The 13523-nt window shown below is 37.4% G+C and overlaps 2 non-coding genes across 2 annotated transcripts, besides 2 other annotated features; one reads left to right on the top strand and one right to left on the bottom strand.

Annotated features, from left to right (window-relative positions):
- Nucleotides 1229-2428: an enhancer, noted in NCBI's record as "CDK7 strongly-dependent group 2 enhancer chr2:213793492-213794691 (GRCh37/hg19 assembly coordinates)". NCBI's record gives its function as "activates an origin of replication core promoter dependent on BRD2, BRD4, P300/CBP, MED14 and CDK7 cofactors, with strong dependence on CDK7, by STARR-seq in HCT116 cells {active_cell/tissue: HCT116}" and the evidence as "EXISTENCE:reporter gene assay evidence [ECO:0000049][PMID:35650434]".
- MIR4776-2 (microRNA 4776-2) lies at nt 4860-4939 on the top strand. Its single transcript, NR_039936.1, has one exon. It is a non-coding gene; the product is annotated as a microRNA 4776-2 (primary transcript).
- Nucleotides 4860-4939, bottom strand: MIR4776-1 (microRNA 4776-1). Its single transcript, NR_039935.1, has one exon. It is a non-coding gene; the product is annotated as a microRNA 4776-1 (primary transcript).
- Nucleotides 12698-13278: an enhancer, noted in NCBI's record as "OCT4-NANOG hESC enhancer chr2:213782642-213783222 (GRCh37/hg19 assembly coordinates)". NCBI's record gives its function as "activates a minimal SCP1, AML or CMV promoter by ChIP-STARR-seq in primed H9 embryonic stem cells {active_cell/tissue: H9 hESC(primed)}" and the evidence as "EXISTENCE:reporter gene assay evidence [ECO:0000049][PMID:30033119]".

Here is a 13523-nt window from a genome sequence, read left to right as displayed (position 1 = left end):
GTATATATACTTCATCAAACAAACAGATATGATGTGTGCTGTTTTTGAACATAATAAGAGATCTGGGGTAGTCTCAGCTGAGTTAGTATGTTGGCTCTAGGAGAGGCAGTCCCCACACCTGGCCTGGTAACTGTCACTCCTCAGTGAATGGCTGGATCTATGTTCAATTGATCTAATCAATTCAAACCTCAAGCTGCTAACCATTTCAACTCCAAGTGGCCAGATAATTGAAAACTAAGTGAATTTTACTGAATGGTCTAAAAAAAAAATGCTTTCATTCTTTAGAGTATATCTTTAGGACATACATTTAGCCTAACCCAGAAATACAGCTTATCTATTTTTAGTACCTGGAAAGAGAGCTTTCAACAACCTCTCACTGACTCTAACAACATACTAGAAGACAGACTTTGAAAAATTTCAAGTAGAAAAGAGTTAAATTTCCCCACCCCCACCCCCATGCGGTGATGATAACTCAGAATGATAAGAGTTTAGAAGAAATGAAGAATAAAAGAGATAACTCTTTTGTTTTTACTATGTGTAGTTACTTGTATCTATTATGACATGGAGGTTAAATTCTGGTAATTTTTGTTTTCATCTAGAAGAGTTGATCATACACTGAAAATGTTCTATTTTTTTTAAGAACATTCTCAGGAAAGGTTTGATCTCATTTAGATGTAAAAGCATTTAAGATTTTCAGTAAAAATGAAAGGACATTGTACTATACCAGTTAATGCGTTTTCTTTGCAAGCAACAGACAGAAACTGGCCAGCTTAAAGAAAAGTGGGATTTAGTGGAAGACTGTGGAGCAGCTTTCAATACCTAAGAAATAGAAGCACAGCCAGACCTCCAGGGAGATAGATGCAGAGCAGTGGTGGGGATCTGGGTGAAGAAATAGATACAATCTCTTTGGGAAGATATAATAAAAATAAAAAATAAAAAACTCAGCTCCAACCATGTTCTGTCCTTGGGCCAGATTCCTGGGACTTCTATCTGATCGGTCTTGGCAAGTGAGAGTAGGGATGGGGAGGAAGTGCCAACTCGCCCCTTTGCACTTTGATCCATAGTTTGACAGTTCCATGAAGATGGTTCATAATGGCGATGGGCAGATCCCCAGAAAATCAGAGGGACACTCTCAAAACAAGGGGAGGGGATACAGGACTGGCAAAAAACAACAAATGGTCACCACAGACATTTTTGTTCTATCAAGGGAAAAAAAGTTTTCTCTCCAAGTTAGTCCATCTGATCTAGTGTTGCTGACATCTTTCTGCATACCTGCATCAGGGGTTCATATACTACCCAGCTTTAATGAAAGGCCATGGCACACTTTATTAATGAAACATTAGTAACAATTTTAGAAGTTGTAGCTGTTCATTGTAAGTCATTTTGCAATTTTACAATGAGTTATTTAATAGAAAGGCAGCATATTTTAAGTAGATACTACCTTGCTCATCTCACTTCTTAGGATGATCACATAAACACCATTTTTTTGTATATAAAAGCATCTAATTTATATTATGTGATCCATGCACAACATTAACATCAGACATTGTGAAAAATTCATGTTCTTTTTTACCTTATGAAATGAAAGATGTTTTATGTTTTGCTTCACGGGATGTTGAATCCATTCAATTTTTACTTTATTTAATTCACTAATGCTCAATTATTATTTTAATCATAACCTGAGTTTGCCTTACCTTATTTTCTCCGTAGTATTCAGTGATGTGGAGAGAGGTAAAGAAGATGTCAGATGTTAAATATAATTAATGTTAAAAACAGATCTGATGAATCAGGGTGTTACTTCTGAAGAGAGTGACTCAACAAAGACTTGCCGGTCATAATTACTAAAAATTAGTCATTCTGTGAGATCTTTTTGCTGATACTAATAGATGAAACACCTTTGAGGGAAACCCTTTTGAAAGTGCTGCAATGTGACCTCAGAGAAACATGCCTTTCCAGACATTATACTAGTTATCAATTCATTCAAGAAGATGTGAGCAAAGTTTTCTTAGAATTTAAATATCACTGACAAGTGTATTTATGAACACACTTCTTTTCCTAGCTAAGTTCTGGGTAAGTGATCTTTGCTCTGTACTTTGCATTCCATGAATTACTTAAGACTAAAGACTTAACCTCTGTAAATCTCAATTTTCCGGTCTGCATGATGGGGACAATATTAGTGCCTACCCCTTAGGGCTAGATTGAGTATTAACTGAAGCAAAGCATGTCAAACTTAGCATAGTACTGGACACATACCAGAAACAAGTTAATATTAGTTAATCTAATTCTTATGAAACAACTTTGCAATGGTTTGAAAATTCCACTGATTTTCCCAGCATATTTGGGAAGTCTCTTTAATTTCATCACACCAGTGGATTTCATCTGCTTTCCAGTTTATGTTGCAACTCCTCTTCCCTAGGACTGTCAAGTTCCTTTTCCAAGTTATCTTTAGTGTGCAATCGGCTAGATCCTTCCTTCTCCGCTTTTCGTGAGGGAATGAACAGGCACATACCCCTCATGGCCAGGCCTCAAAGTGCCAAGAAGAGAGGCCAATTCCCTTGACATTTCTCCGTGTTCCTCAGGGCCATCTGCTTCCCTTTTCTGCCTCATCACCTTTAGAAAAATCCTCTTTTGTTCTCTCGGTTGCCAATGAAGACTGTTGTCACAGTTTGCCAGAAGATGTACTGGCATGCCCAGTGATAATGGACTCCATAGATAGGACTTGGAGTCCTCACGAATGAAATTCCCACTTACCTGGACAAAGTAATAACAGGAGAGATGGCCTCTCAAAGAATACTTTGAAAAATAATAAATTCTAGAGAATTGTATATTCTTAGCATATGATACATCTCATATAAAAGAAAACACTGAGATATTCCTATGGACCTTTTTTCTATTAATACATTATTTGAACTATGTCTTTTTATAGTATTTATTTCCTTAAGATCTTAGACATAAACCTAAGTTTGCAGGGAAATACTCATGTCTGAAAGGAGATGTTCTTAAATTGACATTTTACATATATCAGTTGTCACAACTTAAGATCCCACCTTTACTCAATAGTGCTTAAGGGGTCATGGAGGAAGATTTGATTGATTGTTTTTTATGTATACAAGGGGCAGGCCGGGTGCAGTGGCTCACGCCTGTAATCCTAGCACTTTGAGAGGCTGAAGCAGGTGGATTGCCTGAGCTCAGGAGTTCAAGACCAGCCTGGGCAGCATGGTGAAACCCCATTTCTACTTAGATACAAAAAAAACCAGCCAGGCATGATGGCTCCCGCCTGTAGTCCTAGTCCAGCTACTCGAGAGGCTGAGGCAGGAGAATTGTTTAAACTGGGAGGCAGAGGTTGTAGTGAGCCGAGATCGTACCACTGCACTTCAGCCTGGATGACAGAGTGAGTCTCTGTCTCCAAAAAAAGACAGAGTGAGACTCTGTCTCCAAAAAATGAAAGTATACAAAGGACAGTTGTTTTACCCAGAAAGGAAGAAATAAGAAAGTCAATTATTAGAAATTTGTTTAACTGGCATGTGTTGAGTTCCTATACCTTATTAGATACATTTGAACATTCTTTCATTAAGTTCTTAAAAAATATGAATTAGGTATTATTTTCATCTCCCATCTTACAGATAAGGAAACTAAGATTTAGAGAGTATAGGTCACTTGCCCAAGGTCACGGACTACTGGGAAGCAGGGACATGAATTGAATCAAACTCTTTTCAAATCTAAATTCAGTGCACTTAATTTCTGTGTCATGCCATCACACTTTCTCTCCATGAAAGCTAATTTCTCTTTTAACATTAGGTTTTATAGGTAGTTCTACTAATTATGTTTGTGAAGTTTTGTTTTCTTTTCCCTTCACAAGGGCTGGACACAGATCAGCATTCTCATGTTATGAATGATTTAGCTTCGGATTACTCTTCTGCAAATGGAGGGAGGAGGCAAACCTCAAATTAAAGGCAGGGTTGGAATATAAAAGTCTCAGCTCCTCAAGAGTCCAGAAAAACCTCCTCCCAAGAGTGCTGTGGCCTCTTGGCGCCTCTCCAGGCCCAGCCTGCCTGCAGGACTTGCTTGCTCCATCTTGCCGGTTCTCAACGGAGAACTCTTTGTTTTGGACCCTGTTCTTGTATTCTGCTCAGTGGACTTGAAAATTGGAAGTTTCCTTGCTTCCTGGTCCTTCCTGTGCCTGGGAAACAGACTTGGAATTCTTCTTTTCTTCTCTTCATTCAGCAAAAAGACAACCCCACCAGTTACCATTCCTTGTATTAGTTCTTGGAACCCAGCCTGGGCCAACAGTTAGGCCCCCTGAGAAAAGAAGCCTAACTTCATTTGCCTAGTCCTTCCCTCAATAGATTAAGAAATGAAGAGAAAAAAACCTTCTTAACATATACTACATAATACTAATATTTACTTTAAAAAAAAAATAAAGGCTTAACCCCTGCATTTTCATCACTTGAGAAAATTGATATAAGCTAATATTTTCAATAATTTAAAGAAAATAAACCATTTCTTTCCTGCTCCCCTCCCCTTCTGAATATTCGGCATAAATAGTTGCTTGGGTAGAATAAATTCTCACTATTCATTGGTTTGAATGCTTGTGTATATCCCAAGGGTATACACAATGACCTCTACACACATGACCTCTGTTTTACATAGTCAACTTTTATTTTGCTGAGGCAGAAATAATGCATGCAGCAAAGACTGCCAGCTGTTTACCAAAATCCCTTCTCCTCTTCTTCCTGAGCACACAGCTAGACTATACTTCCCAGTCTCCATTGCAATTCTGTGTGGCCACATACTAGAGCTCTTGCACTGCTGTGTTTTTGCATCCCCTTCTACCTTCTGGCTTCCTGAGATGGAGCAGACTATATGCAGTGGACCAGGATGGCAAGGGCTCTACTGTCCTTTCAGGAGAGCCCTTGCCATCCTGGTCCACTGCATATAGCCGAGCTCCCACTGACCTGGAACCCTCATCCTGGACTGTTGTCCAAAAGAGAGATAGATGTGTTTTTCCCTCAAACATGAGAAGCTGAATTTGGCGGTCTATTTGTTACGATATCATAGCCTGTCCTAACTGAAACAGGGCACATGTAGTATGTAGCACAAGTTTCTTAGCTAGTGAGAGTGCTTAGCAGAAGCTCAGTGCCTGCCCTTCACCAAGATTTGAGGTTTCCTACTCATGGAGTGTCATCAGTAACTCTTGCCAAGTGATAAATCTTTTGAATATTGGTGGAATATGATAACACAAAGTAAACTAACCCCTAAATGTTGGTAGCAAAAGTAAAATACAATTGAGTGTGTCTTAGAGGGCAAAGGTTCTTGGCTAAAAGGTGGTTGTTTTCTAGAGTTTAACAATAAAATACCAAACTCATATTAGAAATAGGAATAATTTTACCATATGCTCCACATATAGAAAGAATAAAAAACTCAATTCTGGAACTGTTTCACCAAATGCTTCAACCAGAATTTTAAAAATAAATATATAAATAACTATGGTCCTGAATTTATAATATTAATGATATGTAGGAATAATTTACATTTTTTGATTTAACTCACAACATTTCAGGTAGAAAATTATATGGTATATATATGGAAATTTAATGATTTACACACACCCACACTTACATATATACCGACATACAAAGTTATCACCTTATGATATATTCCTTCTAAATATTATTTGTTTGATCCAAACTCTAGGATGAATTTACCTTCTTAATTCTCTAAAACTATGATATTAGACCACATATTTTTGCATCTTAAATTGTAAAATTTCAGAACATAGAGAAAAGAAGAAAAGAGATATAAATGATATTTATTCAAGACTATTGAACTCATGTGGAAAAATAGTCCCCCGAGGACGTCAGGTCCTAATCCTTAGAATCTGTAAATACTACCTGATACAGAAAAAAGGTTTCTGTCTGTAGGAACCTAAGAAAAGACATTTTTAAATTAAAAACAATTAAAACATTAAAAATTTAAGGTCTTTATAGGTATGATTAAGTTAAGGATATTGTGATGAAGAGGTTATCACAGCTTATTAGAATGGGCCCTAGATGCAGTCACGTATATCCTTATGAGAGAGAGGCAGAGGGAGAGCTGACAACGAGGAGAAGGCAATGTGATCAGGGAGGCAGATGGGAGTGATGCAGCCACAAGCCAAGAAGTGCTGGCAGTCCCATGAGCAGGAAGAGGAAAGGCCAGATTCTCTCTTAGAGTTCCCAGAGGGAGCATGGCCTGGCTAACTCCTGGATGTAGGCCTAGTGAAACTGATTTTGGAGTTTTGTCCCCTAGAACTGTGAGAGGATAAGTTTATGTGGTTTTAAGCCATTGAGTTTGTGGTGATTTGTTATAGCAGCCACAGGAAACTAATCCAATTCCATTTTCTAACAGCTGAGTTCAACTTTGCTAAGTTTATATCTGTGATATTTTATCCTAAGTCTTTGGGGACCTAAGTTTGTTTTCCTTTTCCTTGGCCTGGAAAAGACAAATGTCCCACCCATTGTATTACATGTTGTTGAATGTCTTTAGTGAGCTCAAGAGAGGGAACATCTCTCTTCTCCAGCTGAGTCTGAGTCATTGAAAAACAGAGTAAGATAGATAGAGAGGAAATTATCAATTTTATCATTGTTAAAGTTGATTTTGGAGGATCGCCTTACTATCACTGAATCTCAGATTTAGAGAGACTTACCTACCTTATTTCCAACATTAGACAATGTACTCTAAAATGTAGGGTCTGAAATAGCAGAGCAGAAAGTATGCTTTCTCTATGCACATAGCTCTCAAGAGAATGAGGAGGTAAAGGGACTCAATAACATTAAATGATTCCCTCTTCTCCTGAGAACAGAGATGTCAGGACTGCTGTGCTAGTGGAAATCTTTTTATATGGAAAGAAGTGCTGGGAGTGGAGATGAAACATTTCCTATGGTTCCATCTCCTTATGGGCCAAGATTGACAGCTATCTGTGGGCAGAAACAGTGACACTCTAGGCTTTACAAGCCGAGTGGAAGACAACTTAAACCATAGATAGATAGTAAAGTCCTAGCTGCTCTCAGCTTAAATGTGAATTTTGGACTTGGGACAGTGTTTAAGATCCTAAATGAGTCTGCTGAAGTCTAGTTAAGTCCTGAATATCCCCCGATTCACACATGGACCTTTGTTTGTTAGCATATTCCACCCACCTCTTCTTTTAATCTGTTAAAGGAGACTTCTGCTTTATACAATCAGGTAATAAAATCTGTCTTTATAAATATACTTGTTAGTATGCATTTAGAAATCTAAGTCCTCACTCTTTTATAGACAGGCACTAATAGGTTACCTACTTTTTTCACCAAATGATTCTTACTTGAAAATTAAAAGAACATTGCATTTAGTGTTAAAAGCCTGTAACCTCAACATGAGGTCTCAATAACCCAGCTGCTATCTATTTATCTTGGTAGATTCATTTATTCTCTCTTTCCTAAGGTTATTTTAACAATGTTGTGTTATTTGTAATAAAAGTTGCTTTTGTTTCCACACTGGGCCAGAATGGATTGAGTAATAACATTAACAAATACCTTGAGCTCACATCCGCACCTTTCACCCTGAATTGTTTTCCAATGCTAACTCATTGTCTCCTCAACATTCCAGTGGCTCAGTGACAGGGGGTATTATTCCCATATTTCAGAGAGAAAAAGGAAAGCATGAAAAAGTCAGAGCACACCTGTATCTAGAAATCAGAGCCTTTGATAATGCTATTCTACTTTTTTTTCCTAAGGGCATACATTGTGTTAAGTATCTCTCCTGGTTGTTCTGAGTGAGATTGCTGAATGTGCCTTGGGCTGCACTGAGGGAAGCATTAGTTGGAGTCCTGTGATTGTGCTTGATGATTAAAGTGTGACATAAACGTTGAAGTACCTACTGTGTGCAGGGCACAGTGTACTTCTACTCTAAATCTTTGGGAATTCCTGAAACCTTGAGGTTTGAATAAGGGTCAAAGTGGGGGCATTGACTTCCTCTCCTATCCTTGCAAGTTTGCTCAGGTAAGGGAGCATTATAAGACCAGGAAAATATGATTATGTCATTTTCAACTAAGGTCCAAAACCACAGAATACTGATCATTTTCAAGGGGTTGACCATTTTCAGTTCTCCATACAATGCTTTCTATCATCCCAATGGGACTTCTTAAAACTGAAACCTTCTCTTTTTGGTGTTATCTAAAATTAAAAGACTTCTTATTTTTTCAAGAGCAATTGCTGTGAACCAGAGGAATTGTGAGCCAGAAATACCAATCAGCAAACGACATTGATGATTCACAGCATTTGATGAAGCACAAAATCTTAATATCGCAATCTCTAAAGGTACTGAAAGTTCTATCTTAACTTCATGTTTTTAATACATTGGAGTTTCTCAAAAGAAATACATTCTTATCAACTGCATTTTTAAACAAAATATTTTCATAATATTGAGCAAGAAATTTGCTGTGAATCATTCAAAGTTATTCATTCATTCTTTTAAAATTTACTTAGTGAACAGGTAAAAACCCATTGATGATCTAGTAACATATTATTTGGTTGTATTTTTTCTTTGTCTTTAAAGGTAACATACTTTACAGACACAACTTTTCATAATGATTTCCAAAGGAAGGTAATTTTGTTTTTGTTTTTTTTTTTTTCAAAAGAAAAATTCACTTTGCTTTCCTAATTTAAAATTTGTCATTTATTATACGGGTTAAAAGAACATAGTTGAGTTCTAAACCTCGTAATGGCCTACAAAGTCAGGAACTGATTGCCTACATCCCAGTAAATGACAGACCTGCATTCTTACTTGCTAATTTGTTCTAGAATGCATCTTCTTATGCAATATTCATTAAATCAATAATATTTTGGAAGAGTCATCTATGGGTCCAGTGCCATCCTAGAAGCCATGGAATCTTTGAAAAGCAAGCTTCTAACTTTAGAAAACAAGAAATATAATTGGGAAATTAGGAAACAAACAAACAAAGAAAACCCCAAGACAAGAGTAAAGCAATACAGGAAACAGACCTCAGACTGTGTAAATGACAAAGACTTCATGGAAGGTAAAGAAAGACCTTTCTCATTGGATGAGTGTCTTATCTGGGAAGACTTTGTAAAGGAAGTGAATCCTGAAGACATAGTGAAATGTAGATTTCCTGAGAGGGTTATAGGCATATTTCATCCTCATTAATTTTTTAAAATTATGTCATTAATGTGTGGGCATTACAGCACATTTGACTGTATATAAAAATATGATGTAATAAAAAAACCTAGAAATGACTAATTCAAATCTTCCTGTTTCTCTCTACTATTCATCATGTGTATTAATATGTATACATATATTTATGTGGTTATAACCATACCATAAATACAGTACACATGTTTAATTATTAAATTTATATAATCAACTCCTTCTACTGATTAAACCTGTTTCTCCAAGATTGACCTCTGGGGAGAAAGCATCTTAACCATTTTCCTGCCAATCTGTAAGTTTTCCCACAACAATTAAGCTTCTTACCTAATCCATATGCTCCTTTCCTATTAGAACAGAGAGTAGTAAGTAGGAAAGAAACAGAAAACTCATATCTTTCTCATGGCTGCATGAAGCTATGTAACTGGCCACATGGAAAAATGGACAATGAAGATTAGACCTTCATTTATTTGTCTACCATGAATTATTTAGTGGTTGCCATGGTATGTGCCAGGGATGGTGCTAACCTATGGTAAGCGAACAAGACAGACACAATCCAGCTCTCAATGAACTCACAGTATAAGGGAGATATAGACATTGCAGTAGAAAATCCTAGAAAAGTGTGGTAAATACTATGATAGAGGATATACAGGATGTTATGGTAACCCATAATCTGGGCTTGTTCAGGAAGTCTTTTGAAGGCATTGAATGTAGTAGTGACTAAACAAAGCTGAGTGGTGACTTGGAGTTAGCTGTAGGCCAAGGAGGGAAAGCGTGAGTTTCAGGAAGAAATAATAGCATGAGGTTTCTCAGATTATGATACAGCAGCAACCACAATAAAGCCCTCAATACGGTTGGAGCGTGGAGGCAATGGGAGGTGCTGGAATGTTAATGTGATTGGGGAGGTTAGAACTGGAGCAGGAAGGACCTTGTAAGCTCTATGAGGAAGACTTTAAGAACAAGGGGGAATCATTAAAATTTAAAAGGAAAGTGACATGATTAGTTTATAATTTCACTCAAAGATTCTATCAAAGGTAGTTACCTTCTAAATTCTTGCTGTAATTAATTTATAAATGCCCCTATGATGCCAAATGCTTCACTCACAATATATTACTGATTATTTACAATAATCTTTAGAGAAGATACCATCAGTATTCCAATTATGTAGCTGGAAAACTGAACTCAGAGACGTTAAGTAATTCGCCCAAAGTCATCTAACTGGTAAATGGTAGAGAACTCAAGGAAAGATCTATTTTACTACAAAGCTTATGTTCTTTCCAGTGGACCAGGCTGCCTTCCAATTATGTTCAGAACTGGCTGTTGAATGAAAATGCCAAAATATATTTGAAATTTAACTAGAACCTAAGGAGCTTCAAAAACAGGTGAAAAGGTGTGGCAAGCATAGGAGGTAAACAGGGCGGGGGTGAAAGGGTTGAGTGAATCAATTCCTTTTAGTAACAGACTCTACTCTATTTCGGTCTGCTTAAGTGAGTTCTCATGCTCAGGAACTTGTCAGCCAACCGATGTAATCCTTTCAGAATAGGCAAGTTTTCTTTTACAAAGGGGGGTTTCATTACCTTGGAAACTCCAAGTAGTCCCCTTTACTTAGATTGTTTGAGTTTCTGGGCTCACCTTAAACAGGGGAAATGAAAGTGTTCTATTATCAATAAATGATGATAGTGACTTTTTTTTTTACAGTAGCCTGCAATTTATATGAGACCTTCTAAAAGATCAGTAAGTTTTAGTAAAGCATCAAAGACAGATAGGCAGTGTAGAACTTCACCAAAAGTTTTGTTATCTATCTTCCATTGCTCATTGAACCTCCTGTAGTTCAACCATATGCACTTAGTATTTGAAATACCTTATTCCCATGTTTATCTGTAAGCCAAGGATAGGTATTCGTAGCAGTTTTTAGTGAAATATAAATAACACACTTCAATTGTTTTGTTCATAATGACTAAGTGTATAGTGTATGTTTACAAATTAAGGAATGCCCAGATACAATCAAAGAGTTCTCAGAGCAAGAATTGTTCTTAGAGAATATCTGATCCACTCCCCTATTTTGTAGATTAAGGAACTGAGACTTAAATTGACCTAGAGACCTGTTGAACATTATTCCCCGTTTCTCTGGACAGTTGTTTCCCCCAAATATGTTTTAGTTGACTTTATACCATCAGTGGTTGATAAAGCAATCTGATTTTAAAAAACCAAAACCCCATCATCTATGTTATTTCTTTATTATACTAAGCTTCAAATCTCTACTTCATGGAAGCCCAGATGGTGGATCAAAAATAACAAAATATAGTATCTCTTTTGTAGACAACATAAAATTTCTTTTTGCCATTTTCTTTTTTGGAGGTGTTTTGACTGTCTCAATTCTCCTATAATTGGCAGCAGCAATGAAAGCTCCAGAAAGGGAATAAGAATTGTTGAGGAAGTGTTTGATAAAAATGCATTAGCTCTGTGGAGAAGCATATCCAGTTATTTCAGCTCACCTGGTTTGACTGCAGAGTGTTACCTCACAGTGAGGAAATGGAGCATTTAATGTCTTGCTCACCTTCTAAGTGACCCCTTCATACCACGCCTGTGTTGGGAGACAAAAACAAACACAGAGCTGAGAATTCCCAAGGGCTGAGGGCCAGGTAATCCTCTCAGAACTACTCTAACCTGATACTCCCTGACTGAGGTGGGACTCTGGTAATCTTTGAGGAAACTAAAATCTCCCTTTCTTTTCTTCTTTGCCTTTCCTATTCATTTTGCTTAAAATAGCCATCACGCAATTCCAAATATTGTAAATGCTCTTATAATAACTCTCTCACCTACTTTCTGTTGGTAATTACTATCTAAAAAGAAAAGCAAGTGCCAACCAAAGATTTTACAGTGGGACAGGGTTGTTGATCTAGGAATAATCAAACAGCTTTAAGTAAAAGGATTGCCTTACCTTACAAAGAAGCATTTGACTGAGACTCACCAAGCACCTCACAAGCACCACGATGCCTTAAAATCCAGCGTGTGAATGAGGCCTCCTGGCAAAGGCTTAAACCATCTGCTCTCTCCTACCTGGAGAAGACCATGCAGATGTTGGTCCACTTTTTTGTGCTGGGAACAAGAGGCAATCCAGTCATTAAGCGAGTCCCCAACTCTCAGCACTTAATTAAACAGGAGGACTTTGTGGCTCCAGAATGAATATAACTGTCAGCGAGAGCCTAAACTTCTTGGCCCTGGTTTCCCAGAATGCCCAATGCAATGTTAATTTTTCCAATTTTTCCGAATTTGTTTGGTGAGTGACTTTCTGGGGTATCTATAGCAGCCAGACATCTCCATGGTCTTTTGGAAGGGAGAAGTTTCTTTCTTTCTGCTCTCTAAGATTCTATCAAAAAATCTCACACTCAATCTACTTAATCAGGAAATGTCATCAAACACAATGGCCATGTATACCATGTTGCCCTGGCATGCTCTGGGGACTGATAAATCCAGGAGTATTGCAGAACCTGAGAAAACCACATGCATTTGAACTCTAGCTCCACTACTTACTACCTGTATAACCTTTGGTGAGTTACTTTTCTGGCTTCAGTTTCCTCATCTATGTGATAAGCATTAGGGTACTTATCTCATAGGGGTTTATAAAATCAAATGAATTAATATATAGAAAGTACTGAGAGCAATGCTGGGCACATAGCAAGTACTCAAAAAATGTTGGCTCTAATCATTTTAAACATGATCAGCCCCAGATGAACACTGAGGAGCAGAAGAATGAATGAACTATTTCTGACCATAAAGAAAATCACTTAAAATTTTACACATCAAAGGTATTCTTCACAGCTACATTTTAAAGAACTCCAGGGGATGCATCACTTGTTTTGTGCAAATGGTGCACCCGGAGTTCTGCAGCTTGGTGATCCTGGTGTGCTTGTACTTGCCCTTTTTGGTTCCCTAGCATTTTGTTTTATGTTGTTGTTGTTGTTTTGGGATTTTTGGGGAGAGGGTTTTTGGTTTTTTTTTTTTTTTTGCTTCTTTCTCCTCCATAAATAATGAATATTTTTACAGTTATGCTCTGTATTGATTTCTTCTGTCACCAGTGACTAGAGTACAATTTATCCTAGGATATTTGAAAATAAGAACAAGTATGTTCTTCTCTGGCGGTTTACTCCCAGATCTAAGACTCCTGTGTGGTGAGATGTGCAGCAAATTAACATACGAACCCAAGTGGTTAAGTCCCTCCAGAATTCTATGGAAAACTTCTTTAAGTTGCCGTTATTGCTGCTGCTGCTAAACCTGGATAGTAGTTGCCAATCTTTTAAAACAAGCTTCTCGGTGTTATTTTTAAAGGATGGAAAACCAAA

This window comes from Homo sapiens, chromosome 2 (genome assembly GCF_000001405.40).
Source record: "Homo sapiens chromosome 2, GRCh38.p14 Primary Assembly".
NCBI lineage: Eukaryota > Metazoa > Chordata > Mammalia > Primates > Hominidae > Homo > Homo sapiens.
Note: the sequence above shows the minus strand (reverse complement) of the source record. Positions and strands in the feature narration are given on the sequence as shown.